This window comes from Homo sapiens, chromosome 5 (genome assembly GCF_000001405.40).
Source record: "Homo sapiens chromosome 5, GRCh38.p14 Primary Assembly".
Taxonomy (NCBI): Eukaryota; Metazoa; Chordata; class Mammalia; order Primates; family Hominidae; genus Homo; species Homo sapiens.
Genome location: NC_000005.10, coordinates 146,248,671 through 146,272,793, shown reverse-complemented (window position 1 = coordinate 146,272,793; position 24,123 = coordinate 146,248,671). Strand labels below are relative to the sequence as shown.

The window sequence follows — 24,123 nt, the reverse complement described above, 5'->3', positions numbered from 1 at the left end:
AAAAACACTTGAAGTGAAGCCTTGCTCTTTATGATTTCCCTCACCATCTTTAATACTTTTTTTTTTTTTTTGAGATGGAGTTTCGCTCTTGTGGCCCAGGCTGGTGTGCAATGGCACTATCTCAGCTCACTGCAACCTCTGCCTCCCGAGTTCAAGCAATTCTCCTGCCTCAGCTTCCTAAGAAGCTGGGATTACAGGCGCACACCACCACACCCAGCTAATTTTTGTATTTTTAGTAGAGATGGGGTTTCACCATGTTGGCCAGGCTGGTCTCAAACTCCTGACTGACCTCAGGTCATCCACCTGCCTCAGCCTCCCAGAGTGCTGGGATTACAGACATGAGCCATTGTCCCTGGCCATCTTTAAAACTTAATAGGACTGAAAATACTTCCTCTCAAAAGAGTTGTTTGAGGAATAGGGAACCTGGTTATCTTGGTTCCACTACTTATTAATTATATGATTGTGGTTGACATTTTAACTTGTGGTGTTCACATCTGTACACACAGGATTTCACATGTACACAGTTTTGCATGTATATACAGTTTGCATGTATTTCACATTTATACAGTCATTTAAAATTAAATGAGATCATGTATGAAAATGTTCTAGCACAAATAATGTCAATAAAATATTTACTGAATGAATGAGTGGCTGGAAAGAGTATATACTGCATATGTCCAAAACAGTAAAGACATTTGCCTGTAGCAAATCTCTATTTGCATGTTTGCCTAAAAGTAAGTGGTTGCCACTATATACAGAATGTAACTAAATATACCTGTTATCCTAATAAATTCTTTATTTGAATTTTGCTTCCATCCCAGACTGTTTCACTATTAACTATAAATGCCTGGTAAGCCATGTAATAATCCTAAAACAAAAATTAAATATAGCTCTGGAACAACTTGTCACTACAAATGCACTTAAGTGGAGTATTATGGAATCAAAAGCAAGAGCTGCTTCTTGACTTTTAAATATATTAAATAGGCATTTGGTAGTACTCATGTTTTTTACAACTAATTTTTCTAATCTATAAAACATCTGACATTTATAGACACTGCAGCAAGGAAAATGATGAGCACAGTGTTTTTACAGTTAGCATTTGCTATTTTAAAAACTTACTGAGAAATGCTGAAGCAAGTCTTCTTTTTCTTCCTCAATGAATCCTCCAACTGTTAGTGCTTTGGGACGATGGTCCACCACCATGTGATTTAGTGAGCCCCTTCCTCTTCCTCCACGCCCTCGGCCTCTTCCTCGACCTTGAGAGGACATGGTCTTTCCTCGACCCACAGGTAAAATACCTAACCGTGCAGCCTGAATAACAACAAAAAGTAGAATGTAGCATACATTATTAGACTAAACCTTAAAAACAAAGGAAAACTTTTTTTTTTTTTTTGAGATGGAATTTCACTCTCGTTGCCTAGGCTCGAGTGCAATGGCACGATCTCGGCTCACTGCAACCTCTGCCTCCCAGGTTCAAGCTATTCTCCTGCCTCAGCCTCCCAAGCAGCTGGGATTACAGGCAAGCACCACCATGCCTGGCTAATTTTGTATTTTTAGTAGAGACGGGGTTTCTCCATGTTGGTCAGGCTTGTCTCAAACTCTTGACCTCAGGTGATCCACCCGCCTCGGCCTCCCAAAGTGCTGAGATTACAGGCGTGAGCCACCGCGCCCGGTCAAAGGAAAACTTTTTTGAGACGTTAAATGTGGTGGGGCGCTAACTCCTTTTAAATCTCACCTCAACCTGTAACTGACTGAGTTTTTTCCGTAATTCTGTGGTGTCTTCTCCTGAGGACAGCCTCTTGTGGAGGTCCAGTTCAGTATCTAATAACTCCTTCTGGGCCTTTGGAAAAATTGAAAATAAAAAGGTATTTTTTAGATAACTTACAAGATCTCCTCCAGAACATGATAGTTACACAATGACACACATGTATTTTGGAACATGAGAATGAGAGGATGCAATAAACATGGGTGTTTTTAAAAAAGTAACTTTACAGATATAGTAGTGCCAACATGTAAAAAGTATATAGATATCAGTGAAAAAGAGTAAGCATTAGACGGCTTAAAAATTACATCCTAGGAACAGACACCTGAGATGAGGGAGCTGAGAATAACTGTCACATAATAAAGTATCACAAATGAAACACAATGGAGCAAAATAAATTATATAGTAAAAATGTATTTATAATACAAAGTAACAGCTACATAATTACTACCAGATTGGAATCCACAACTGTTGACATTCTCTTTTTTGTTAGAGACGAATTATTTATCAGTCTTTAAAAGACATGACTGCCAATGATTTTTTCACCTCTTTAATTTTTAAAATGTGCATATATATTCTTTCTATAATTAGAAAAGATTTCAATAAAAAACATTTTTATTATATCTTTAAGAAGAAATCTTAAACACTTTATGTTTCTATACTGATAGAGAACCATAATTTCAAATTTAATGTAATACTACATATAACAATTTACATTCTACATATCTGACAAATTCATTACCAGTTCTCAAAGGACTAGAATTATCTATAATCACACCACAGAACTGTGGTGTAATGGAACCACTGACTAAACCAAGTACAGCAAGGAAACACATGGAAATTAATAAAAATTAGACTTAAATAGATCTAAAACTTCTGATTATTCTTTTTAATAACATGCCACATTTTTACCCATATGAATAGGCCAGGCTTCTTTTTTTAAAGGATGGTTTTATTACAATACTATTACAGCATTAGAAAAACACTGCTGAAATGGGAAATACCTCTTTCACCACCATCACTTTAATAGTGTCATCTTCAGCAGAGAACCAAAATATTCAGTTAAAAAACACATCTTTGTTCAAACAGGGTATTATCAACCTCTTCCCAAAAAGGGTACAGAGCATCTACAGAAACACTAAAACAAAAAAATTGTGGCAGCCGGGTGCAGTGGTTCACACCTGTAATCCCAGCACTCTGGGAGGCCAAGGTGGGAGGACTGCATTTGAGGCCAACCTGGGCAATATAGTGAGACCTTGTCTCTTAAAAAAAAAAAAAAAAAAAAAAAAGGTACTATAATTAGGATTTTTTTTTTAAGTACTATAATTGTTTGCCTATATCCCTGTTAGGATATTAGCTACCTAAGGGTCCCATTGTACTTTCAAGGTGTCAAGCACATGGCAGATGTTCAATAACCCTATGTTAAATAAAAAATGCAAATAGATACCTCCGTTTTTGTCTTCACTTTAGATGGTGTGGAGACTGCAGAAGATGTTTTTAATTCATCTTTTAATTGTGAGATCTTCTCTCCAAGCTCTTTCAAAGTCTTCATTATATTTGCTCTTTCTTCTGGTTTCATGTTTTTGTTTTTTTCTAACTTGGATATTAACATCTACGAAATAAATAGAAAAAGGTAAAACCATGCTTAATAAACTTTAATATAAAGAAGTCTTTAAAAATTATGAATAATACTTTTAAAATCAATTCTATACATCAATTCTAGCATGCAAATAATGAGCTCTTGTCTTACCTTTTGGCATTCTATTTGCTTTTCTAACACTTCCTGTCTTTTTTTCCTCATATCTTGTTGTAACTTCATTGCTTCCTGTATAAGTAAAAAAGAAATTAATACAGATAATGTAATTTGCCACCATTCTCAACTCATTTTTTCTGGGTCATCCCTGAGACAGACTGTCCTCCTAATAAAAAAATAGCTGACACCATAGATGAAACCTTTGAATATATTTTCCCTAACACTTTCAGCATAATAGAGTTTACAACTGTACTTAAAAAATATTTAAAATATTGGACCTAATTAGCTATATCTATGAGATTTATTGACTTGAATGACCTGAATGTCCTTATGAAGAAAAACCAAAGTTGTTTTCACTTGCCAATGTAATAGCTAAATCCTTATTTTTTAAGTTTAAAGTTTAAAAATGTGAGGCTAGGCATGGTGGCTCAACTTGTAATCCTAGCATTTTGGGAGGCTGAGGTGGTAGGAATGCTTGAGTCCAGCCTCGGCAACAGAATGAGACCCTGTCTCTACAAAAAAATGAACAAAATTAGCCAGGGCATGGTGGCACATGCCTACTCAGCTACTCAGAAGGCTAAGGTGGGAGGATCATTTGAGCCTGGGACATCAAGGCTGCACTGGGCCATGATCATGACACTGCACTCAACGTGAGTGACAGAGTGAGAACTTGTCTCAAAGAAAAGAAAAGAAAAGAAAAAAGTGACATGCAGCTATAGGTTAGAAATGATAGAGTAGGCCGGGCATAGTGGCTCACACCTGTAATCCCAGCACTTTGGGAAGCCGAGGCAGGTGGATCACCTGAGGTTGGGAGTTCAAGACTAGCCTGACCAACATGGAGAAAATCCATCTCTACTAAAAATACAAAATTAGCCAGGGGTGGTGGCGCATGCCTGTAATCCCAGCTACTCTGGAGGCTGAGGCAGGAGAATCGCTTGAACCCAGGAGGCGGAGGTTGCAGTGAGCCAAGACCACACCATTGCACTCCAGCCTGGGCAACAAGAGCAAAACTCCGTCTCAAAAAAAAAAAAAAGAAATAAGAAATAAGAGAGTAAAATCTATGGATTTCACCAGGAAAATTTTGCCTCCCACCCTCCTGTTAAATCTCTAATTATACTGAGATAGTACATATAAATATCTATTTAATTTGGAAAACCCTATGTGAACTTAACAGGATGACAATGAAACTCAGAACTGAATCATATAGATAATAATTACAAAAGTCTTATATTTTATATGAATCATTATCTACCTAGGAATTAAAAAAAGAAAATAAACACTAGAATTGGAGGGAATAATAGTGTATCAAAAAAAAATTCTGAATGGCAATTGTGAAACATTTTTTCTGTATGTCCACCTTTTTTTTCCAAGTTTACATTAGAGAAGAAGCTAAATAAGCATTATGATGTTATGCCCTGCCAACATGAACTGATTTAAAAGTGATAATGTAACCACTTAAAAATTCAAGGCATCTTTTCTTCTGTAAGGCAAGAAGAATCAAGACTGTTACCTGTTTTTTTTTAAGCACTTCTTGAACATCATGAGATTTAGACCCTGAACAGAGCTTTGAAGGTGTCTTTAAGTTTGAGGAGCTGTAAATCATTTTTGGATGGCCTGGAGTTGAAAATATCTAAAAAATAAAGAAAAAAAAAAAGCACACACAAATATAATTATATCTTAGAAATGCTTAGAATACTTTTTTAGAAAAGATGCATATATTTCTACTCTTCTTAGGAGTTAAATTTTCTTTTTACATTTAAAAATTTCATTATAAAATCTAGTTCTTTATGCATAAATTTGTCACCCAAAAGATAAAAACAGCCTAAGTACCCTTCTGTTAAACACAATTTCACAAAACACCAACATCAGACAAAGGTGCTCCTGTGACCATAACAGATCAAGACAAAAGCAAGACCAATCCCTAATCATGACTGAACAGAGACAAAAATATGAATGCTATCCAAACTATAAAATGACTAAACATCTGTTTATCCTGGTAATGACTGCCGCTTCTTTACCACTTACTGCTTTAGCCTCATTCCAGGTAAGATTTAGTGAGATATCCTATCATAGAATTTATGCCTGTTTCCTTAAATCCTTCTAAATCATCTAACTTAGCCAAAATCCTAAAATAAGTCCTTTTGGCATCCAGTTTCATTGTGTATACCTCTCACTGAATAATAAGTTGAATTTGTTTGGCTACAGGTGGTATCTGGCTGGAGGGTATTTCACAAGTTGTTTTTCGTAAGTGAAGTGCCAAATAAAAACTCTTGTTTCCAGTAACTGAAAAATCCTTCTAAGTATTAAGCTACGTTCTTTTTTTAAAGTTTTCCTTTCTTCTTTTTTTTTAAAGATAAGGTCTCACTCTGCTACCCAGGCTAGCGTGCAGAGGTGCAATCACGGCTTGCTGCGCCTCAATCTCTTGGGCTCAATCCCACCTCAGCTTCCAGAGTAGCTGGGGCTATAGGTGCGAGCCTGCAAGCCTAGCTGGTTTCTTTTCTTTTTTGTAGAGATAGGGTCTCTCTATGTTGCCTAGGCTGGTCTCAAACTCCTAGGCTCAAGTGATCCTCCCACCTCAGCCTCCCAAAGTGCTAGGATTAGAGGTGTGAGCCACTGCACCCGTCTTTTTAAAAACTTCTTAATTAACTTTGAATAATATAAGAGATATAGAAAATAATATGAAGAAATCCATGGAAAATTCAATCACATAAATATTATATCCAAATGTAAGACTTCTCTCAATCACCACAACACTTAATTATCATCAAAATTAAACTAGTTTACACAGGAAAGTCCTGCATGTGCCATAATATTCACCTCTCCAGTTCCAGCTTATAATATTCTAAACAATTTCCCCCCATTTGAAATGGGATCTATTAAAGTCCATGTAAGTGCAACTTGTTACATCTCTTTATAGTCTCCTTTACTTCATAGTTTCCCTCTCTATCTCTTGCTTTTCATTGCAAATTGTTTGTTGAAGAAACCAGGTCACTCATCCAGTAGTACTCCCCCATAGGATTCTGTGGTACCCTTGAAGATGTCCCTCTGTCCCCCAAATTTCTTTTAAATTAGTGGGTAGATCTAGAGGCCTGATCAGATTTGTTTTTCTCTTTGACAGGACTCTAGTAATCTTTGACACCCTCCTTAGTTTCTGGTTTGATACCATATTCTAGGCTCATCTGCAGTACTGCCAGTCTCAGGTCTGGAGACAGCTATTTCTTCAAGGATCCCTGGGTCCCTTTGAGTGCTAGGGATGCTCAATGACTGGGCTGGTCATTATTTCTAGACCTTTTCAGTGAATAGAATTGGGAAATGTTTGGGGAATATTTTGTTGCCTTTTTTTTCCCGCTTAAGATAAAATACAACCTGAGTTAATACGGATAGTTTCTATTCAAATGCAGGACTACAGGTATTTACTTAGTCTTATCTATCTTCTATCTCTCTTTTCAACCACACTGAAAGTCTGAGTTGTCAAGGACATCAGTGTAATTCCTCATTTGATTTACCCTACAATGCTCACAGATGGGTTTTAGAATATCAACACTGTCAACAATATGATTAGAAAGAGCTTTCTTTAAATTGTTTTTTGTCCTCAGGGTATATCACATTAGGAATACATCATCAAATCACTGTTTTAAAGCACTCAATGCAGATATGCTAGTTCATGTGTTTCACTTTTCTTTTCACTTTTTAGGGATTACTTCTATTTCATTTAATTTTACTTTATAATTACTTTCAGAATTTATTTACATGGTTCCAAGTTAAATCTACAAAACAAGACGTAATCAAAAGTCATCTAGCTTCTTCTATACTTGCCATAACCACAAGATTTAAATAATATGAATTATCTTTTTGGTTTTTTTCCTGTTAAAAGCAAATACTTCTCTGTGTTCAGTGCCTCTACTTTTTCACACCAGCAGTAGTCAACTATGTATTTTTTTCTTCCATTTTGCTTTTTTACTTAATATATTCTGATAATCACTCCATGGTACATATAAAAATATTCTTCATTCTTTATATAGTTGTATATTTACTGTGTAGATATACTACATTTGCAGTAACCAGTCCCCTACAGATGGGTATTTGGGTTGTTTCCAGTCTTTTGTTATTATAAAGAGTATATCATTACTAGCCTTGCACATATGTCTTTCCATATTTTGGCTGGTATACCTTTGACATAGATTCTTAGAAGGAAGATAACTAGTTTAGTAATGCATATGCATAATTTTTGCAGATACTGTACTGCCAAATTTCCTTTCATGAGGGTTGTATCATTTAGACTTTCAATCAGCATCTAAATCTCAGATCCATTTGGAATTTATACTGGTTTATGATATAATTTTTAAAAAAAGGATCAGATCTTATTTCATCTTTTCCCTACTGGCTATCCAGTCATCCCAATACTATTTATCAACATGTCTATAACTTCCCCACTGACCTGTTCCACTTTGTTATTATATAATAAACTCCTATTTGCAACTGAGTCTATTTCTAGATTTTCTATTCTGTTCCACTAGTCTGTCTATTCATGAGTCATTATCAGGTTGTTTCAGTTACAGAAGCTACATAGTATTTTTGGGATAGCAGTTTTCTTTGCTTTCCCTTTTTTTTTTTTTTTTTTTTTAGCTCTCTTTGTAATAATCACCATGCTCAAGAGTTATAGTATAGATATATTACTAAAAATAAATTACTTAAAACATATTTCAAAGTTTGGTTTTTTACTATGACAGAATACCCTTCACTAAATTCTTAAAGATGAAATTAAAGAAATTAATAAAGACACTTATCTATTAATAAATATCTAAAATTCAGCCGGGTGCAGTGGCTCACGCCTGTAGTCCAGCACTCTGGGGTGGATCACCTAAGGTCGGAGTTCCAGACCAGCCTGACCAACATGGAGAAACCCCATCTCCACTAAAAATACAAAATCAGCTGGGCATGGTGGCGCATGCCTGTAATCTCAGCTACTCAGGAGGCTGAGGCAGCAGAATCGCTTGAACCCAGGAGGTGGAGGTTGCGGTGAGCCGAGATTGTGCCATTGCACTCCAGCCTGGGCAACAAGAGCAAAACTCTGTCTCAAAAAACAAACAAACAAACAAACAAACAAATAAATATCTAAAATTCTCAAATTCCTACTTAACTTGGTTTTTGTTTTTTGTGTTTTTTTTTTTTTGACACAGGGTCTTGCTCTGTCACCCAGGCTGCAGTGCAATGGTACGACCTTGGCTCACTGCAACCTCCTCCTTCGGGTTCAAGTGATTCTCGTGCCTCAGCCTCCCGGGTAGCTGGGATTACAGGTGTCTGCCACCACGCCCAGCTAATTTTTTTGTATTTTTAGTAGAGAGGGGGTTTCGCCATTTTGGCCAGGCTGGTCTCAAACTCCTGACCTCAGGTGATCCACTCACCCAGGCTTCCCAAAGTGCTGGGATTACAGGTGTGAGCCACCACGCCCAGCCTCCTACTTAATTTTGAATAGGAAAAAAATTTCACCAGCAAATTTCTGACTGAAACATGGAAACTAGAGAGGTATACCTGCCACACTTAGGTTAACTGTCACAACTGTCTTCACTGTCTGAATGATAACTGATTTATTCTGTTAATTCACTGAATGATTCTAAATATATCTGAAGCTCCCAAAAATGCATACCTGGCAATCTTCTCCAGCACCACCAGACTGATTCAACAAATGTGATGCATCACTCTGGTTACCACCTGCATGTCCAAGACGATGTTTAACAGGAACTTTGTTAAGAACATATGCACCTGATGTCTGTGGTTTGCTCATCATCTGCACATACAAAATGAACACTTATGTGGCAGAAGTTTAAAAACATGCCTAGAAATGGTACAAATTTAAGATGATTACTCTAGGGAAGAAGATAAGAAAATGGGAACGGGAAGGTGCTTCAATTATCCGTAAGGTTTTATTTTTTAAGGGGAACTGGTGAATATACAAATGATAGATTATTCATACTTTTTGGGATGTCTAAAACATATCACAACAAAATATACATGCACCTACACACAAAAAAACCATTAATTATTTTTTAATGTTTCCTCTAGTATGCAATGCTCTGAAAGAATTAGAGGGTCTTGGCTGGGCACAGTGGCTCACACATATAATCCCAGCACTTTGGGAGGCCAAGGTGGGTGGATCACCTGAGGTCAGGAGTTCAAGACCAGCCTGGCCAACATGGTGAAACCCCGTCTCTACTAAAAATACAAAAATTGGGCAGGGGTGGTGGCATGCACCTGTAGTCGCAGCTACTCAGGAGGCTGAGGCAGGTAGCCTGAACCAGGAGGCAGAGGTTGCAGTGAACCAAGACTGAGCCACTGCACTCTAGCCTGAATGACGACAAAGCAGGACTGTCTCAAAAAAAAAAAAAAAGGAAAAAAGAAGAAGAAAAGAATTAGGGGGTCTTAACTGACAGTGGCTTAATATGAATAATTGTGAAATGATCACCTCAAAAACATAATGCAATCTTGGGCTGTACTAACAGAACATGTTTAATCATCACCATGAAGGTGATAGTATGAACTCTTTTCTACACTATTCACCCAACATCTAGGGGAAGCATTCACCTTTGCACCCTTACATGAAGTGGGATACAAACATAACTGAAAGAGAATTTAGATGCAAATGAGCAGGATGATAAATGGAGTTGATGCCATGTACTGTAAGGAATACTTTTTAAAAATCTGACTGTATTTAATCTAAGCATGAGATTATCTAGGTCAATCTCTGAATGGCTCTGATGTGTGGTAGTTTGTTGTTTTGTTTTTTCCTTCCTTCATCTATTCAATCAAATATGCTTTGAGCAATATGTACCAGACATTGTTTTAGGCACTAGGGATAGAATGGACACAACAGGCAAAATTCCAATTCTCTTGGAGCTTCTATTCCCATTTTTAGAAGGAACATATAACTTTTTTACATGGGAAAAAGGAGGGCAAATGGGTAGACACAAAAAAGACTGATTCTAAAAAATAAATAGCTCTACAGTTAAAGTTGCTCTGTGGTAGATGGTTATTATACTTTAGGGTGCATAACAATAACTTAAGAGTACTTGTTAAATATGTATATTTATAGGCCCTGTATCTAGAGACTGACTCTACAGAGGTTTGAGAAGCTGAAGCCCAGAAATTTGCACCCAGGTAAGTGATTCTGATGTAAAATAGCAGGTCTCAAACTTTAAGGTATGTAAGAATCACCAGGAGAGCTTGTTAAAACACAAATCCTTGGGCCCCACCCATAGGGATTCTGATTCAGTAGGATGGAGTATGGCTCAAGAATCTGAAATTTTTCCCCCAAGAATCTGCATTTCTATAAGATCCCAGGAGATCAGATGCTACTGGTCTGCAGTTCAAATTAAGAGTAGCTCTTCTGTAGAAGACCCAAGGACCAGGAATTGAAAAATACTGATCTAGAGGGTGTAACTAAAAGACCTTTAATTCCCAGTGAACCAGATTACCTTCTGGATACCTCCGTGCACTGTTGAAGGAGCAGACTGGGCCACTAGCACCTGCTGCTGATGTAGATGCTGTGGCAGGTGATGGTGCTGCTGTGAGAGGTGACTAAGTGTTTGCTGTTGTTGCAGGAGCAGCTGTGCTGAGGACTGTAGTGTCGGTTGCTCATTATTTTCCCTATGCCACAAGACTCGAATGAATCGGTTGTTTAGAACTGCTTCTGTGCTAGAAATGGCTTTCCTGGCCTCCTCATTGGTAAGATATTGGATTAGGGCTGCTTCTGGGTCACCCTTAAAAGCAACCTTGAAGAAAATAAAACAATATAAATTCCCAAAAACAGAAAATAGTTAAATAAATTATGACCCACTGCTATGTAATGAATGTTTTCCCCAAAATACACATGTTAAAGCCCTAAACTCCAACATTACTGTTTTAGAGATAGAGCTTTTAGGATGTAATTAAGGTTAAATGAGGTCACAAAGGTGCATCCTAATGAATAGTATCGGTGGCCTTAAAAGAAGAGAAAGAGATCTGCCCTGACCCCCTCTTTCTCTTTCTCTGTCTGCCATGTGAGAACACAAGAAGCCAACCATCTGCAAGCGAGGAAGACAGCACTCCCTAGGAAATGAATCATCCAGCACCTTGATCTTGGACTTCTCAGTCTCCAAAACTGTGAGGCTACCCATTCTCTTTCAGGAAGAGATTGCAGAAAAGAACCAAATGAATTCACAAGAACAAACATGGTTTAACAAGTCCATCATAAAAGTGGGTATATAGATATATGGTGGCATTTACAGCACTTAGCAGAGATGATCAGAATAACCACTGACTCATTTAAACAAGGTGAGCTGATAGAAATATTCCCAAGACCCATAAAATGCCTGGATTCTGTCACTGACATAGCCACATTTACCTGGATATTAACAATAGTTCCAAATTTGCTGAAGTGTTCATTGAGCTTGGTAATGTTGTTCAATTCCTGAGGGATTTTCTTGACTTCTAATTTGGTGTTTGTATACTGATTCTTTCGTAAGAACCCTGGTTTATTTTGATTGTTATTTCCTTGCCTAAAAGGAAGATTAATACATCTTGGTTAATTCTCCTACTTCATGCCTAGCAAAGAGATATAACCACAAAGAATTTAGGTTTATAATTTTTTTAAGTGCCTTTTGTGGCTGGGCATGGTGGCTCCACCTATAATCCCAGAAAACTTCTTCAAAATCATATGAAACATTATATTCAAAATTCAAACCACAGAAAATACATAAGCATCCAGAAACAGATTACAGGCTGAGCGAAGTAGCTCATGCCTGTAACGCCAGCACTCTGAGAGGCCAAAGCAGGAGGATTGCTTGAGCCCAGGGGTTCCAGACCAGTCTGGGGAACATAGTAAGACCACATCTCTATGTAATAAATTAACTGATTGATTAATTTGTTTAAAGTTCCTTTTGTGAGCCCTTAACATTCTTCGGAAATTACTAAGCAATTTTCACATTCTTCTTTTTTTTTTTTGTAGACGGAGTCTCACTCATTCGCCCAGGCTGGAGTGCCGTGGAACAATCTCGGCCCACTGCAACCTCCACCTCCCAAGTTCAAGTGATTCTCCTGCCTCAGCTTCCTGAGTATCTGGGATTACAGGTGCATGCCAACACGCACGACTAATTTTTGTATGCTTAGTACAGACAAGGTTTCACCATGTTGGCCAGGCTGGTCTTGAACTCCTGGCGTCGGTGATCTACCCGTCTCGGCCTCCCAAAGTGCTGGCATTACAGGTGTGAGCCACTACGCCCGGCCAACATTATTCTTTTTTTTTTTTTTTTTTTTTTTTTTTTGAGACGGAGTCTCGCTCTGTCGCCCAGGCCGGACTGCGGACTGCAGTGGCGCAATCTCGGCTCACTGCAAGCTCTGCTTCCCGGGTTCACGCCATTCTCCTGCCTCAGCCTCCCGAGTAGCTGGGACTACAGGCGCCCGCCACTGCGCCCGGCTAATTTTTTGTATTTTTAGTAGACACGGGGTTTCACCTTGTTAGCCAGGATGGTCTCGATCTCCTGACCTCATGATCCACCCGCCTTGGCCTCCCAAAGTGCTGGGATTACAGGCGTGAGCCACCGCGCCCGGCCACATTATTCTTATTACATGAGAATAGAAAAGGTGAACAGCAATAGATTACAAAAAGAAAAGGCCCAACTAACACTTAAAATCATATGCTAAATAGATCTACCATAAAGATCTACCACAATTATCAAAGACTCTAACATCATTAAATGAAGGCTAGAACACCACCTTTTTTTTTTTTTTTTTTTTTTTGAGACAGAGTTTTGTTCTTTTTGCCCAGACTGGAGTGCAATGGTGCAATCTCAACTCACTGCAACCTCCGCCTCCCAGGTTCCAGCGATTCTCCTGCCTCAGCCTCCCAAGTTGCTGGGATTACAGGCGCGTGCCACCACACCTGGCTAATTTTGTATTTTGGCTTTCTCCATTTTGGTCAGGCTGGTCTCGAACTCCTGACCTCAAGTGATCCACCCGCCTTGGCCTCCCAAAGAGCTGGGATTATAGGCGTGAGCCACTGTGCCCAGCTAGAACATCATCTTTAACGGCATATTTTCAACTTCTGCAAAGGTACTAAGCTTTTTTTTTTCACCGTTGATTTCATTTTTTTCTTCTTTTCTATCCATTGCTAGTGTCTCAGTAATTTCTAATATTGGGTTAGGCGTAGAAATAGGTAGGTACGAATTAGAAATACCTATTTTGGGCTGGATGTGGTAGCTCACACCTGTAATCCCAGCACCTTGGGAGGCCAAGGTGGGTGGATCACCTGAGGTCAGGAGTTTGAGACCAGCCTGACTAACAAGGTGAAACCCCATCTCCGCTAAAAATACAAGAAAATCAGGTGGGCATGGTGGCTGGCACCTGTAATCTCAACTACTCAGGAGGCTGGGACAAGAGAATCACTTCAACCCAGGAGGCAGAGGTTGAGGTGAGCTGAGATTATACCATTGCACTCCAGCCTGGATGACTACGTCTTTTAAAAAAAAAAAAAAAATTATAAATATTGTTAACTTTTTAATTTTTACAACATTCTAAAGATGTCTCCTGGAACCCTAACTTCAAGATACCTAGTTTGAAAAACATTAATTAATGACAAATCTTATTTTTATGAATTTACCAATGCAAACGACAATAACAATTAGATGCTACTAATTAGCAAATTATCTTACTTTCCCAGCCAAGGTTTCTTTGTGAGTGGCCCTTCCAAACCACTCATAGCTCTTTTTCGACTATCTGGTTCAAGAACTACTCTGGTTATGTTGCTATTAATCGAAACAGGAACTGGTGGTTCAGTCTGGATCACAATGTTAGCAGCTGTTGGAAAAAAAAATTGAAATTACTGAGTTTTTCAGGAGTCTCAATGATTAATATATTTAGTCTAAAAGCTAAAAACTACTATGAATAGCTCAACTACTATCATTTCTCTTTTAGAAATGCCTAACAGAAGAAAAAGTTACAAATGCCTTTTTCTATAAAAAATAGAAATCCATGTTTCAAAACTCAAAGTTAACCTCGATGTAATAATTGACTCAGGCATGGATGATCAATAGATGAAAAAAATATTGGTGAAAGGTTGCTGGAAAACAAGATATTTATGGTGCCAAAGTACCACTCCAAAAATTACATTTACAATGGAGAGCTCTGGGCCAGGCACGGTGGCTCACGCCTGTAATTCCAGCACTTTGGGAGGCCGAGGCGGGCGGATCACCTGAGGTCGGGAGTTCGAGACCAGCCTGACCAACATGGGGAAACCCCATCTCTACTAAAAATACAAAAAAATTAGCCAGACATGGTGGTGCATGCCTGTAATCCCAGCTACTCGGGAGGCTGAGGCAGGAGAATCGCTTGAACCCAGGAGACGGAGGTTGTGGTGAGCCGAGATTGTGCCATTGCACTCCAGCCTGGGCAACAAGAGTGAAATTCGGTCTCATAAAGAAACCAAAAAAAAAAAACAAAAACAATGGAGAGCTCCAACAATGATCACCTTATACAAGCAATCAAACTTAGCACCATTAATGGACATTATTTGCCTCCTGGTATGATTCAACAAGAAGTTCACCAAATCATAAGGATTACATATTATTATGGAATTATGGTTTTATGTGTGGCAATAATACTGTGCTTATATAGGACTGTCTTATTCTTAGATATAAGGTAAAGGACTTAAAGTTTCACAATGTCTACCAATTAATTTCAAGAGATTCAACAAAAAAATGTGAGTGGAGAGAAGAAAGAGAAGAGAGAGTATACAAGAGAGCATTCATGCCCAAAGGTAGTAAAATATTACTGGTGAATCTAAATGAAGGCATTCAAATGTTCACTGTGTTTCTTTTGATTTTCCACAGGTTTAAAGTTGGGAAGAAAATCCAAAGCCAATACTATAAATTGGCAGAAATACTCTAAGAATCTGTCCTTACAATAAATAACCTGTGGGTAGGAAGACGTGTACTGAACAAAACAGAAATTAGCAACACAAAACTATGCCTATTAAATCTTGAGTATTTCTCTTAACTTTAGCAACTCCACCAAGCAAAGAATAACTCAGAGCTGAATGCTGGGGTAGGTATATGGTTAGGAGTTGGTACATTTGATTTCATCTTTGTCAGGGAAATTATGATGTAAAGATTCATTCACTTAACGTTTAGCTATTTTACAGCTCAGCAACTATAGCAGACCTTGGGTATACATTAGTGAATAAAATAGACGTGATCCTTGCTCTTGCGGGACTTGTGTTTGCAGAAGGCTAATGAAGAAGATAGCAACTGCGATGGCATAAAGCATTCTAGAGTTTGAGATGCCATTATGTTCTCCTTAAATAGTTTTTATCATTACCAGCTAACATTGCCTAATGCTTTTTTTTAATTAATTTTTTTTAATTTAATGAAGTGTGTCATATTAAAGGAAGGAAGTCACTAAAGGTTAAGTGACTTACCCAAGACAACAAAGAAATCTTGTTGTATACACAACATGACTTCTCCTCTGAATTCTAGTTCTGCCACTTAACAGCTGTGTGACTTTGGGCAAGTTCTTTAAACCTCTCTAAGCCTCAGTGTTTTTACTTGTAAAAGGAGAATAAAAATAGAAATATGAGAGACAATAATATATATGAGGCTGGGTGCAGTGGCTCATGCCTGTAATACCAGCACTTTGGGAGTCCGAGGTGAGATCTGGATCACCTGAGGTCAGGAGTTCAAGACCAGCCTGACCAATATGGTGAAACCTCGTCTCTACTAAAAATACAAAAATTAGCAGGGTTGTGGTGGTGCACACCTGTAATCCCAGCTACTCAGGAGGCTGAGGTGGGAGAATCGCTTGAACCCAGGAGGCGGAGGTTGCAGTGAGCCGAGATCGTGCCACTGCATTCCAGCATAGGTGACAGAAGGAGACCCTGTCTCAAAAAATATATATATATAAATAATATATATAAAAATAATATATATAAAAATATATATATAAATAATATATATATAAAATATATATATATGAGAAGGCATTTGGTGTAGTCTTCATACAAAACCTGTTATTCTTATAGTGGTAATAGTGTTATTAACAGCAGGAAAAAAGAATTAATAAAGCTAGGATAGAAAGGAAGAACAGGAAAATGCTAGGCTGGGCATGGTGGCTCACACCTGTAATACCAGCACTTTGAGAGGCCAAGGTAGGTGGATAACCTCAGGTCAGGAGTTCAAGACCAGCCTGGCCAACATGGTGAAACCCCGTCTATACTAAAAATACAAAAATTAGCCAGGCATGGTGGCACATGCTTATAATCTCAGCTATTCAGGAGGCAGAGGCAGGAGAATCCCTTGAACTTGGGAGGCAGAGGTTGCAGTGAGTCAGGATCACGCCACTGCACTCCAACCTGGGCAACAGACCCAGACTCCATTTCAAAAAAAAAAAAGAAGAAGAAGAAAAAAAGGAAAAGAAAGGAAGAAAAGGAAAATGTTTGCCAGATGATTAAATTAATCAAAAAACTATTGTGTCAGTGCAGTCCATGGCCAGTCACTCATGTTGAAATTATATATTGGAAATTCATAATAGCTAGAAAAAAACTGGAATCTCATCAAACTAACCATCATTAACCAACCTTTTTAGTGGGGGAGTAGGTAGGAGGTTATCAGCCATATTAAAGGTAAATGCTTGCATTTAATCTTGGTTTTGTTTCATTTTTAAGGTTTATTCCTAAGTTTTGTAAAGGTCCTAACTTAAAGATGTAATTATAAGTGTTAAAAATTATCAAATAATTGTAACATTTTAGATTCTCAATATAATTAGTGTGATGCATAGCTCTTAGGATACAAAGCAGGTCCTTCAATGATCAGTTCTTTGAGGGCAGGGGATCAGTAATTTCATCTTTCTATACACAATATCTAACACAGTGCCTAGCAACAAAACTAAAACAGCCTAAAGTCCTACCAAAAGAAGCAGTTAAATAATATTAGTATGATTTGCATTTAAAAACAAATATAGCCTAACTATAGCTTTAAAATAAAATTTGGAGATAAAGTTATTTAAAAAATCTGAGATTAATACATAGCACCCTCCAAAGAGATAATATATAAGTAATTTGGACCTTAATTTCCTCAAGCTAGGCCAGAAATGCAAATGTAATAACTATATCCAACTACTGCATAACACTTAGCATCAGAAAAAGTTCAAGGTATTCTCACCTCTTGGATTTACATCCATATCTCCAGATGTTAGGCCAATCAGATTGGGACGCTGTGTCTGAGTTCTTGAAAAGAACTGTCTGTACTGAGATCTACCAGAACTAGTAATACTAGGAGCTTCTGGGTTGTAACCATCTGGTTCATATGTATCTGAGGGAAAACAAAGCAACAAAACACACAACAAATCAGAGAGAGGTTAAACCATCTCTCATTGTTATAAAATAAACAACTGCTTAAAAAACATATATTCTCCAACAAATACATCAACCTACAGTCACCTCTCAGTATCTGTGAGGGACTGGTTCCAGGACCCTCCCGCAGATATAAAAATGCACAAATGTTCAAGACTTTGATATAAAACAGGGTGGTGGTATTTGCATATAACCTAGGTAAATCCTCTTGTATACTCTAAAACATCTCTAGGTTAATTATAATACATAATATAAATGCTACGTAAATAGCTGTTATGGATATTGTTTTTAAAACTTGCATTCCTTTTAATTATTGTACTGGTTTTTTTTTATTTTTATTTTTTTCCTGAATATTTTTGATCTGTAGTTGGTTGAATCTGCAGATGTGGAACCTGAGGTGAAGGGATGACTGTATTTCTCTTTGTGTTACAGTATCTAGACACACCTTTTGAAACTGAAAAAAAAAAAAATGCTCCTATTACAGAATATAGATATATGCATCCATTCTTAAATACTGATACTTTCAGATTCACTCACCTACTCATTTCTACTCTATATATTAATTACCTAATCCAAATGTCAATGCACTTTTTTTTCTAATTTTAAAAAAACGGAGATGGAGTCTCACTATCTTGCCCAGGCTGGTCTTGAACTCCTGGGCTTCAGCCACCTGCCCACCTCAGTCTCCCAAACTGTTGGCATTACAGGTGTGAGTCACTGTGCCCAGCCCAATGCACATTTGTTAATACAAATTTTCACATACACAAACACCATATGTGAAGAATTGAGTTTCCTCTGTTATCCATCATATCTCCAATTTCTAGGTACCTTTTTAATTGAGGTGAAAAGAAAATGTATTCATTTGGTTATGTACACTTCTTCAAACTAGAGTGAGAACAGCTGGTTTCACACATAAACCATATTTCAAATAAAAAAGCACACACGCGCACATACACGTCAGTCACTTCTATGATTTACAGTATAGAAGTGATTCAGAATATAAGATCAGCAAATTATCCTCATTTAGGGGATCTTCCTGGCCACTACAGGCATTTGAGTCAACGGCCAATAAGCAGCACAACTAGGATTCAGAAGTCCTCAATCCAGAAAACGTCTCACCCCCAATACTCTTAGATTAAACCTCTCCCACGAATATTGTGCTCCTCCTAACTTCAGATTCACAAGCTAATTTCCTTCTTGCACAAAACATCCAGAAGCTATAATGAGGCAATAATAATAAAATGCCATTAAAGCACAGGTGATTCTGAGATATCTAATATAAGAACTAGAACTGCTGGTTGGCATTCCTTCTCTTCCTCCCACCCCCATTTTTCCCCTTTTTTCAGGTTTTGAAAACAGCTCATGGAATTACACACAAAAAAGGCATCACTAGATTAAGAACTGTCTCCCTCTAATAAAATGTTAAATGATGTTGAAAATTAATCATTTGGGGCATCTGTACTGTCCTCCTCAGAGAACAATGGCACAGAAATTTTAATAAATTATTATCACAATGACATTCCTATTAGAGATTTTTTATTTCATTCCTAAGGCTTGCATTCAGTCTCAAAGTTTCCTGATGATGATCAATAAAACCAAATAATTGGGCCGGGCGCAGTGGCTCACGCCTGTAATTCCAGCACTTTGGGAGGCCAAGGTGGGCAGATCACGAGGTCAGGAGTTCGAGACCAGCCTGACCAACATGGCAAAACCCCGTCTCTACTAAAAATACAAAAATTAGCCGGGCTTGGTGATGCACGCCTGTAATCCCAGCTACTCAGGAGGCTGAGGCAGGAGAATCGCTTGGACCCTGGAGGTGGAGGTTGCAGTGAGCCAAGATCACCCCATTGCACTCCAAGCACTCCAGCCTAGGCAGCAGAGCGAGAGACTGTCTCAAAAATAAATAAATAAATAAATAAAAACAAATAATTTTGCCTCAATGGTTACAGGACTATGATTATAGTTATCCGCCAAAGAGTATTTTGGGGGCTTCATACTTAATTATTTTAGCTTTTGTTCTAACTCCTCTCTTTATAAATTTTTTGTCTCTTTAAGACAACTAAAGACAGTATTTAATCATGAGCATTCCCTCCTGATGGAAACACACTGTAATGATATGTCTAGCTTAAAAGTAAATCTAACATAGTTGCTTATTAAATTTCAATGTGTTTAAGGATGACACAGTTTGAAAATGATATGTAAAGTAACAGCTTCCCTGCTTATGCCAACTCTAAAAATTACATGCAATATAACATACAAAATGCATACTGCTTTATCTTTTTAAAAAAGGATTAGCAAATTATGATTAAAAAGTTTTCAGTTACCACTTGGCACTACTGACAGAAAATCTCCTACAGTTAAGACTGCAGAAAGTTTTAAAGAAGTTACATAATCAAATGACCTTGTGCCATAAATCCTGGGAATACACAGAACACCAATTAACTTAAAAGCCCTTTAGTTAATTATAAGAATAAGATCCAAAGGCAAAGTGAGAAAGGGTTAAAAACACCTCATGAAACACCCACAAAGCATTCCACAGATCCTTCAAAATACGTATGTCAATAGGAGAAAAGAGTTTTTAAGAATCGCTACATTATGCACACATACAAGGGGCAAAAGGGGAAAAAGGATATGATCGGCAAGAAACCAGATGTTTATTTTTGTTTTGTTTTAAAGAAAAATTAACCTAGTTTATTACAGTGTATAACTAATTAGAAAACATTCAAGTAGATATTATCTTTCTATCTACCTGATTAGAAACTAGCTCAAGGAACTAGCATCACTTTGTTACCGAGGCACTGAAAGTAAATATAGAGGACACCAGAGATGACAGATACACAGGAGGCCTAATCATCTAGCAGCCACTAGAGACAAACCAAAGAAGCAAAGGAGCAGAAAATAAAACTACCTATGAGCTTTAATGGGACTTTGTAACAGCAGATCAGGATGCCAGGTCACCGCTTAGACTGGCCAGCTTGAGGTAAAAAAGATCAGTGAGGTGGATGGCCATCTGTAGCAAAGCTTACCTGGAACCAGAGGGGTAGGGCTGGAGACTGAGGTATGGTATCCAATGGAGGATCCCATGAGGTTTCGAGGTGGCACCAAACGAGCTGCCAACAGAGGAGGCGGTGTCCCCAACTGAAGTCGCTCAGATGCAGCAGCACCATGTTCACGAGAGTACATGGGCTGTCCTATAGAGGAAAGAATAGGAGGGCAGCTGGGAATGAGAGTCACAAGCTTCTCTTAGGTGATGATGTGTTTCCTGAGACTTTGAGCCAAAAACAGAGAAATTAAACCAACAGGAATAGAAGTACAGAAAGATGTTCCTGGGATTCTTTCTAACTCAAGAAAGAACAGACGTGCAACTGGTTAGGATCCATTGAGGTATAAAGAAAAGAATAAGAATTAAGTAGTATATATAATCTCCATCTTTTATGATCTTAAGTGGAGAAAACTACGTGCTAATTTTATCTAAAGCTGAACAGTGAACCATATCAGGTTATTAGACAAAGGAGCCCTGAGCTATTAATTACACAGAATTTTTCTATCCAATGAGATATGCAGGTATGAAAACTGTCATATCCATTAAAAAGAAAACAACCCCTCTCCAACCAACCCACATAATTTCAGGTTTGCACCAAATATGCTCCCGTATCTGAGAGCAGAAAAAAAGACAAAGACATTAAGAAAAAACAAACCACTATATGCATACCTTCGCAAAGAATAAAAAATGCTCCAAAGAAAAAAATTAAAGATAGTGAAAATTTGTTATCTCTGTGAGCACATGGATAACAAAAATTGAGAAAGGGAAAAGGACAGGCCAGGCACGGTGGCTCACGTGGCTCACGCCTGTAATCCCAGCACTTTGGGAGGCCGAGGTGGGTGGATCATGAGGTCAGGAGTTCAAGACCAGCCTGGCCAAGATGATGAAACCCCGTCTCTACTAAAAATACAAAAATTAGCTGGGCGTCGTGGTGGGCACCTGTAATCCCAACTACTAGGGAGGCTGAGGCAGGAGAACTGCTTGAACCCGGGAGGTGGAGGTTGCAGTGAGCCAAGATCGTGCCACTGCACTCCAACCTAGGCGACAGAGTAAGACTCTGTCTCAAAAAAAAAAAAAAAAAAAAAAAAGGACAAAAAAAAAACAGATAAACAGACCAGCACAGCACTGGACACATGAAATTATCCTGGATATTAAGAAGCACTTTTTGAAAGACAACACATTTAGGATTTATATATAGGCTAATGCAAGAATGCACACACAATGAAGCCAAAATCTGAAGGACAGGATTAGAAAAAGATAAGGTATCAAGGAGCAAAATCCCTTTGGGTGTCCATTTAACAGTATCTTTTTCACCGACAACCCCATTTGAGACATATTTATATGATTTAGTTATTATATATGTCCAACATCAGACATTTACTATGTGACACAAGACAAAATAAAGTGGATTTTTTTTTTTTTTTTTTGAGACGGAGTCTTGCTCTGTCACCCAGGCTGGAGTGCAGTGGTGCTCACTGCAAGCTCCGTCTCCCGGGTTCACGCCATTCTCCTGCCTCAGCCTCCCGAGTAGCTGGGACTACAGGCGCCCACCACCATGCCTGGCTAATTTTTTTGTATTTTTAGTAGAGACGGGGTTTCACCGTGTTAGCCAGGATGGTCTCAATCCCCTGACCTCGTGATCTGCCCGTCTCGGCCTCCCAAAGTGCCACCGGACCCAGCGCCCAGCCTTGAATTTTTTTTATACCTGGTGAAATGTCCTTAAAAGCTGTAAAATTCCTAAAGATTTTAAATGCACCTTAATAGGACAGGCTACAAAGCAACCACTTGGTTTCACAGTAAGTCCCTAAAGGGAATATGGAGATGCTAAACTTCACTACCCTTTTCTTCGTATATAAGAAGCAAAAGAGGAAGTAACAAATCATACTGTATAACTGTGCACTTAGCATTAACCCTTTTAAAATTTACATTTCTAATGGATGTTGGGCTTAATACCTAGGTGGTAGGTTGATCTGTGCAGCAAACCACCATGGCACACATTTACCTACGTAAAAAACCTGTACATCCTACATATGTACCCTGGAACTTAAAATAAAAGTTGATGGGGAAAAAAAAGTACATTTAAAAAGAATCAGCTAATTATTACACTGCAAAAACAATATAACATATTTTCTTTTTTTCTTTTTTTTTTACTTTTTCTTTTTTTTTTTTTTTTTTGAGAGTCTCACTCTGTCGCCCAGGCTGGAGCTGCAGTAGCATGATCTGGGCTCACGGCGACCTCTGCCTCCCAGGTTCAAGCAATTCTCCTGCCTCAGCCTCCCTAGTAGCTGGGATTTCTGGTGCCCACCACCACGCCCAGCTAATTTTTTGCATTTTTAGTAGGGACGGGGTTTCACCATGTTGCCCAGGCTGGTCTCAAACTCCTGACCTCAGGTGATCCACCCACCTCGGCCTCCCAAACTTCTGGAATTACAGGCGTGAGCCACCGTGCCCAGCCCAATTTAACATAGTCTCAATGAGGGGAACAAATAGTTGTAAGCACACAATCAATGGCAGGGAATTACTTGTGAAGAGTGACCTATCAGCAGAATGTAGTAGTATGTTAAAGAGAAAAATGGGGCCAGGTGCAGTAGCTCACATCCATAAACCCAACAATTTGGGAGGCCAAGGTGTGAGGATTACTTGAGCTCAGGAGTTTGAGACCAGCCTGAGTAACATACCGAGACTCTGTCTCTACTAAATATTTTAAAAATTAGCCATGCATGGTGGCGCACAGCTGTAGTCCTAGCTATTTGGAAGGCTAGGGCAGGAGGATCACTTGAGCCAGAAGGTCAAAGCTGCAGTGAGCCACGATTGTGCCACTGTACTCCAGCTTAGGTGACAGGGTGAGATGCTGTCTTTAAAAGAAAAAAAATTAATTAAAAAATAGAAATACATACATATATAGAAAAATGGGAAGTACAATCTTAGTCCATATGACTACTTTAAATGTATGATACATCACTTGATGTACTAAGTATACTATCTAATTAAGTATGTCTAATTAATAATAGCTGTCTCAAAGTAAACTGGAAACCAAAAGGCTACTTTGCCCAATGTCTGTTTTTAAAACTACTGACAAAGAACATACAGAAAGGCCGAGCACGATGGCTCACACCTGTGATTACAGCACTTTGGGAGGCCAAGGCGGGTGGATCCCTTGAGCTCAGGAATTTGAGACCAGGCTGGGC

At 38.4% G+C, this 24,123-nt stretch overlaps 2 protein-coding genes across 2 annotated transcripts in view, besides 1 other annotated feature; both read right to left on the bottom strand.

Moving 5' to 3' along the window:
• RBM27-POU4F3 (RBM27-POU4F3 readthrough) overlaps positions 1-24,123 on the bottom strand; it is a 138,124-nt gene that overhangs the window by 68,935 nt on the left and 45,066 nt on the right. The window contains exons 9-18 of the mRNA NM_001414499.1: positions 17,702-17,851; positions 14,201-14,345; positions 11,896-12,049; positions 10,988-11,284; positions 9,163-9,303; positions 5,026-5,145; positions 3,513-3,587; positions 3,210-3,374; positions 1,736-1,840; positions 1,120-1,311 (exon numbers count right to left, since the gene is read on the bottom strand). Coding sequence (NP_001401428.1) covers positions 1,120-1,311; positions 1,736-1,840; positions 3,210-3,374; positions 3,513-3,587; positions 5,026-5,145; positions 9,163-9,303; positions 10,988-11,284; positions 11,896-12,049; positions 14,201-14,345; positions 17,702-17,851 — 1,544 coding nt within the window. The remainder of the gene's footprint in view (positions 1-1,119; positions 1,312-1,735; positions 1,841-3,209; positions 3,375-3,512; positions 3,588-5,025; positions 5,146-9,162; positions 9,304-10,987; positions 11,285-11,895; positions 12,050-14,200; positions 14,346-17,701; positions 17,852-24,123) is intronic.
• Positions 1-24,123, bottom strand: part of RBM27 (RNA binding motif protein 27) — an 85,619-nt gene that overhangs the window by 16,430 nt on the left and 45,066 nt on the right. The window contains exons 9-19 of the mRNA NM_018989.2: positions 20,919-21,083; positions 17,702-17,851; positions 14,201-14,345; positions 11,896-12,049; positions 10,988-11,284; positions 9,163-9,303; positions 5,026-5,145; positions 3,513-3,587; positions 3,210-3,374; positions 1,736-1,840; positions 1,120-1,311 (exon numbers count right to left, since the gene is read on the bottom strand). Of these exons, the coding sequence (NP_061862.1) occupies positions 1,120-1,311; positions 1,736-1,840; positions 3,210-3,374; positions 3,513-3,587; positions 5,026-5,145; positions 9,163-9,303; positions 10,988-11,284; positions 11,896-12,049; positions 14,201-14,345; positions 17,702-17,851; positions 20,919-21,083 (1,709 nt within the window). The remainder of the gene's footprint in view (positions 1-1,119; positions 1,312-1,735; positions 1,841-3,209; positions 3,375-3,512; positions 3,588-5,025; positions 5,146-9,162; positions 9,304-10,987; positions 11,285-11,895; positions 12,050-14,200; positions 14,346-17,701; positions 17,852-20,918; positions 21,084-24,123) is intronic.
• Positions 15,602-15,771: an enhancer, noted in NCBI's record as "experimental_81725 CRE fragment used in MPRA reporter constructs". NCBI's record gives its function as "activates a minimal promoter by MPRAs in K562 erythroleukemia cells, with activity observed for the non-introgressed 5:145636671 variant allele {active_cell/tissue: K562}" and the evidence as "EXISTENCE:reporter gene assay evidence [ECO:0000049][PMID:34662402]".